Source organism: Homo sapiens, chromosome 7 (genome assembly GCF_000001405.40).
Source record: "Homo sapiens chromosome 7, GRCh38.p14 Primary Assembly".
Classification (NCBI taxonomy): Eukaryota; Metazoa; Chordata; class Mammalia; order Primates; family Hominidae; genus Homo; species Homo sapiens.
The window spans coordinates 98,534,652-98,541,421 of NC_000007.14; positions in this window are offsets into that span (position 1 = coordinate 98,534,652).

Consider the following 6,770-nt stretch of genomic DNA (forward strand, 5'->3'; position numbering starts at 1 on the left):
TGAATTACGCAAGAGGAGTAGTCAAGTGGAGATCTGGGGGAAGGGTGTCCAGGCAGAGAGAACAGTCAGTGCCAACGCCCTGGGGCAGGAGTGTGCCTGGTGTGTTTCAGGCACGGAGGCGGGAGATGAGTGAAGCCATGGAAGGATTTTGGGTTCTACTCTGAATGAGATGGGGAGGTACTACAGGGGTTTTGTTTTGAGATGGAGTCTCGCCCTGTCGCCCAGGCTGGAGTGCAATGGTGCGATCTCGGCTCACTGCAACCTCCGCCTCCCAGGTTCAAGTGATTCTCCTGCCTCAGCCTCTCAAGTAGCTGGGATTACAGGTGCCTGGATGATTTTTGTATTTTTAGTAGAGACGGGGTTTCGCCATGTTGGCCAGGCTAGTCTCGAACTCCTGACCTCAGGTGATCCACCCACCTCAGCCTCCCAAAGCGCAGGGATTACACGTGTGAGCCGCCGCGCCTGGCCTGTTTGGTTTTATTTTTAAGACATAGAGTCTCACTCTGTCTCCCAGGCTGGAGTGCAGTGGCGCCATCATAGTTTACTGCAGCCTCAGCCTCTTGGGCTCAAGTGATCCCCCAACCTGGGCCTCCCAAAGTGCTGGGATCACAGGCATGAGCCACTGAGCCTGGCTGATTCAGGGCTTTGATAAAAGACATGACATTATCTGCTCTAGGGACACAAGAATACAGCAGGTTGCCCAGTTAGGAGGTGGTCACAGCGGTTCACATACGAGATGATGGCCCTAGATCTGAACTTGGGTGGCTGTAGGGAAGTGGGGACATTGGTTTCTGGATGTATTTTTGTAAGAATTTCCAGCCAGATTGGGTGTGGGATGTGAGGGGAAGAGAAGAGTCAAGGATGACTCAAAGCTTTTGACCCAGGGGCCTGGAAGAACAGAGCCGCCATCAACAAGGAGGGAGAGGATGATGTGAGAAGTTGGTTTTGGATGGAAGGCTGGGGGTTCAGTTTTGGACGGGTTGACTGAAGGTGTCTGTTAGACAATTCCATGGAAATACTCATTCGGAAGTTGGATATAAACATCTATCTAGAGTTTGGGAGAGAGAGCCAGGTTAGGGATGTACAACTGGGAGTCACTAGCCCATAGATGGAATTTATACACCATGAGACTGAACAAGGTCAAAGCAACAAGGATACATGAAGAAGAGAAGAGAACAGAAGTCTGAGTCCTGGAGCCCTCCAAAGTCAAGGAGAAGAGAATAAACCAGCACAAGGGTTCAAGAAGCTGCCAATGAGGGGGTGAATTGACCTTGGCAAGAGTACTGTTATTGGCAGAAGCCACATGTTGAAGCCCTAACCCCTATCACCTCAGAATGTGACATTGTTTGGAGACAGGGTCTTTAAGCAGTGAATTAAGGTGAGATGCGGTCACCTTAATCTAATAGGACTGGTGTCCTTATAAAAAGAGGAGCTTGGCTGGGCACAGTGGCTCACACCTGTAATCCCAGCACTTTGGGAGGCCAAGGCGGGCAGGTCACAAGGTCAAGAGATCGAGACCATCCTGGCCAACATGGTGAAACCCCGTCTCTACTAAAAATACAAAAATTAGCTGAGCATGTAGTCCCAGCTACTACTCGGGAGGTTGAGGCAGAAGAATCACTTGAACCCAGGAGGCAGAGGTTGCAGTGAGCTGAGATTGCGCCACTGCACTCAAGCCTGGTGACAGAGTGAGACTCTGTCTCAAAAAAAAAAAAAAAAAAAGAGGAATTTAGACCCAGATGTGTGCAAAGGAAAGATGATATGAAGACACGGGAGAAAACAGCCATCCACAAGCCAAGGAGAGAGGTCTCAGAAGGAACCAGCCCTGCTAACACCTTGATCTTGGACTTCCAGGCTCCAGAGCAGTGAGACAATACATTTCTGTTGTTTAAGCCACTCTTGTGTTGTTACAGCAGCACCAACTCCGATGGGCTTAAGAAAGTGTGGGAAGAGAGAATGGGAACAGGGGAATATGGATAACTCTTCAGAGAGATTTACTATAAACAAGAGCAAAGACAAGGAGTGGTAGCTTCCAGAGGGATTATTTTTCTCTTTCTTTGAAACTTATTTATTGATTTATTTGATGGAAGAGATGGGAGACATAACAGCTTGTTATTTTGCTGCTGGGAATGATCGCCAGGCAAGAAAGAGTATGGAGACCACTGTTCTACTTTCTGCTTCTATGATATCAACTCTTTTTTTTATTTTTTCAAGATTTCACATAAAAGTGAGATCATGCAGTATTTGTCTTTCTGTGTCTGGCATTTGCTTTTCACTTAACATAATGACCTCTGGGTTCATCCCTGTTGCTGGAAGTGGCAGGATTCCATCCTTTTTTATGGCTGCATAGTATTCCACTGTGCATATATACCACATTTGCTTTATCCATTCCACCCATTACTGGACATTTGGGTTGACCCCACATCCTGCAGGGAGGGGGAAAGGGAGGATGGGAGGATGTTGGTTAATGGATACAAAGTGATGATTAGATAGGAAGAGTAAATTCTGGGGTTCTAATGCACATTGGGGTGCTGATAATTGGCAGTAAGGTATATATTATAAAATAGCTAGAAGAGAGGTTTTGAATGTTCTCACTATGAAGAAATAAGTGCATGAGGTGATGGATATGCTATCTACCCTGATTTGATTATTATGATTATTATGCAACATTTATATGTATCAAAACATAAAATTGTATCCCATAAATATGTGCAATTACAATGTGTCAGTAATTTTTTTTATTTTTTTCTAAGAGACAGTCTCACTCTGTTGCCCAGGCTGGAGTGCAGTGGTGTCATCACAGCTCACCGCAGCCTTGAAATCCTGGGTTCACATGATCCTCCCGCCTCAGCCTCCTGAGTAGCTAGGATTACTACTACTAGGCATGCCAGGATCATTTTTTTACATTTTATTTCTTGTAGAGTCTTCGTATGTTGCCCAGGCTGGTCTTGAACTCCTGGCTTCAAGCAATCCTCCTGCCTCAGCCTCCCAAAGCACTGGGATTACAGGCCCAGCCAAAAAAAAAAAAAAATTTATTAAAGAAAAAAAGACTATGTAGCACCCTGTCAAGTTGAGTTATCTCTGCCTTTTGTTGTGTTTGAGCTCTTTTACCACTCTGCACGTTGTAGATAACTGATAGGATGTAAGTGATTCTCGTCCATCGAAATGCAAATGAAGTGTGTCTACTGGAAGGCAATTTATTATCACGCCACAGATAGATCAGTTTTGCATCTATTTGCAAATTTACATCAGCACCGTTTATTGTGATGCTTTCAATCCTTCTTTAAACCATTTGTAACATCTTACTAGTTCCCACAGTAATTAATGAGTTAAAGAAGATCTTTGACATGTGTTCACTTTGTATTTGTATGAGAGTCATTTTTCTACCTGAAAAAAATTCCTTTAATAAGATGCTGACAGATGATAGGTGTCTTTAGATGTGCTCTTCTGATGGGTTAAATTTTTCCATGATGCTGAAGATCTGAGAAAAAGCAGACCCCTCTCTGAAACTTACCTGGGAAGTTCTGAGTTTCTGAGTTTGGGCTATTGAGAGAGACTTTTTTTTTTTTTTTTTTTTTTTTTAGGCGGAGTCTCATTCTGTTGCCCAGGCTGTAGTGCAGTAGTGCAATCTCAGCTCACTGCAATCTCTGCCTCCTGGGTTCAAGCAATTCTCCTGCCTCAGTCTCCTGAGTAGCTGGGATTACAGGTGCATGCCACCACACCCGGCTGATTTTTGTATTTTTAGCAGAGACAAGGTTTCACCATGCTGGCCATGCTGGTCTTGAACTCTTGACCTCAGGTGATCCAACTGCTTCGGCCTCCCAAAGTGCTGGGATTACAGGCATGAGCCACCACGCCTGGCCTGAGAGAGACTCTTTAAATGTACTCATAAGCTGAGTCCTGGCTAGGGGATTGACCCAAGGTTCCCAAGAGTGAAAACCCTTGGTCCTGTGTGGATCGAGGGATCCCATTTGTATTTTGGCTGCAAGTCTGTCTGGCAACACCATGATTTTTCATGCTGAAACCCCTACGGAATTCAGAAATGCCCAGCATGGTTTATATGTGCATCTGACTGCAACCTGATGAAGGCAGGGCCGTCCCACTGGGCTGGGATAAGACCAAGGGCACACACCTCCCTCACACAGTCAATCCCAACTCTCCAAGTTTGGCCTTGAGAAGTCAAACTGCAGGGGCTGGGGCTGCTCAAGGATGGAGAAGCAGGCCAGGTGTGGTGGCTCACGTCTGTAATCCCAGCACCTTGGGGAGCCGAGGTGGGAGGATCACTTGAACCCAGAAGTTCGAGACCAGCCTTGGCAACACAGCGAAACCCCATCTCTACAAAAACGGAATTAGCCATGTGTGGTGGTGTGTGCCTGTAGTCCCAGTTACTCGGGAGGCTGAGGTGCGAGGATTGCTTGAGCCCAGGAGTTCGAGGCTGTGGTGAGCCACGATCGAGCCACTGCACCCCAGCCTGGGTGACACAGCAAGAGCCAATCTCAACAAATAAAAAATAAAGAAAAAAGATATGCAACTGGGCTTGGCCCGCTGACCCCACTTACTCTCCAATACTCCAGTTGTCTCCTGGTGGAGTCCCTCTGTCTGTTCCCTGTGCACATCTCAGATAGAATGGGACTCAGGAACACTAGTTCTTGCCACTCTACCCCCAACCCTGTGTCCCTTCTTAGGTTCACAGACTCCAGTGTCCTTCAGTGCTAAGGCAGGACCTGCTCCTCAGCCTGCAATGAGCCCTTCTCCAGGGGTCACTCCGAGCTCCGCCCCTACTCCTGCCAAGCAGTAACCAATCCCAATCTAACAATAGCAATTCACAAATGAGTAGCAGCTGGAACTTCTCCTTGGAGGTCATGGCCAGACTCTGGGCCTCCTTGACTTCCTCCAGAGATCTCGCTATGACTATTTATTTTTGTTTTTTATTTTTAGAGACAGGGTCCTGCTCTGCTACCCAGGCTGGAATGCAGTGGCACAATCATAGCTCACTGCAGCCTTGAACTCCTGGGCTCAAGTGATCCTTCTGCCTCAGCCTCTTGAGTGGCTGGGACTACAGGCTCACACCATCATGCCCAGCTATTTATTTTTATTTTTTGTAGAGTTGGGGGTCTTGCTATGTTGCCCAGGCTTGTCTTGAATTCCTGGCCTCAAGTAATCCTCCTGTCAGCCTCCCCACATGTTGAGATTACAGGCATGAGCTACTGCACCCAGCCACTATCACTTATAAAAATGCCTCAGTGTTCTAGAATCTGATTAGGTTTGACCTTGTACAGGCTGTTTAGGAATACTGCCCCTGCTTCTGAAAAAAATGTATGTACTTTTTGATATGTGGCCTCCTTCTCCAGTTCTCAAAGGTCTACTCAATCTTTCAAGCTTGGACCAAGTGCTGCCTCCTTCAGGTAGCCTTCCTGGATTGCTTGCAGATTGAAGTGACTGCTCTCTACGATATAGCTCAAATCCTCTTCCCATCCTGGTTGAATTTAGATGTTCATGTTGTTTCTTTTGGTAGATTCATTTGTTCATTCATTCATTCCTCAGAGGTTTTTGAGCACCTGCTCAAAAACAGGCACTATGTTAGGCCTGGCATGCAGGTGTAAATGCATCAAGTGCCCTCCTTCTCCGTGCCTGCATCCTTGGGCGGGCAGTGGGCTGGGCTTGTTCTCAGCACCTAACACAGCACCTGCTGCCAGGTGACAGGTGTTTGATAAATAAATAGATGCCAGGAGGCCATCTGACCACCTCTCCTGCACTTCATCGCATCTTATTTGTTTAGATTTTACCTGCTTTGCTAAATCACGCTTTAATTAACATTCTTCCTCCCTTGATGGGAGGGCAGCAGCTGCAAGGTGGTTTGGAAGCTGTTAGGAATCTGTCAAATCTCCGCAGCTACTCTGGCCTGGGGCCCTGGGGCTGCCTGGTTCCTAGGCTGGCTGCTTGTCTTGGGCAGTCCCCTACCTTCCCCTTCTCAGCCTCGTCTTCCTCCTCTGCTGCCTCTTGTCTCTTGGGAGCTCTGAGATGAGAGGAGTGGGCTTGCATGGGTGCATCCACGTGGCGTGGCTACCATCGCTGCTCCTCGGCCAAAAGGGCTCTGCCTCCACAGCCACTCAGCCTTGATTTGGGGCTCCTATTTTCTGAGCCGCTGAACCCTGCACAAAGCAGTCTGTGCCCAGGCAGGGCCAGACCAGGCAGAGAGGTGACCTCCTCTGCCCTCTGGGCAGCATAGCATCTGCAGGGGCCTGGATGCCTTGAAGTGAGGCTGCCTTCAGGAGAGGACAGGGAGTAGGGAGGGCAGGAGGGCAGAGCCATGAATGTCACAGGGCGGGAGGCAGGCCCGCCTCCTGGTTCCCACTTTGCAGGATGACCCTGGAAGAGGGACAGGTGTGGTCTGCAGAAAAAGCATCCATATCAGCTGGTGACTGTGGCTGAGCCCCTGGACTGTGGCTGAGCCCCTGTCCTCCTGGGGTCTTGCTGTGGAGTGAACACAGGAGAGGCTTCCTGACCAGCCACCTGCCACCCCTCCTGTGGTCTCACCGTGCCTGCCATTGTGTCTTGCCTGCCAGTCACCATTTCGCAACGGTCCCGCATGTGAGCAGATGCTGACATGCCCATTGAATAGGGAGTCCACTGCGGGAGGGAGGTGGTGGCAGCCCCATTCACAAGGGAGATGGGTGATGAGACGGTGGGCCAGGGACTGATCCTGGGGCAGTGGCTGCTGTCTCTTTATTGCCCTCACAAAGCCTTCAAGGTCATGGGCTCCAAAGGCT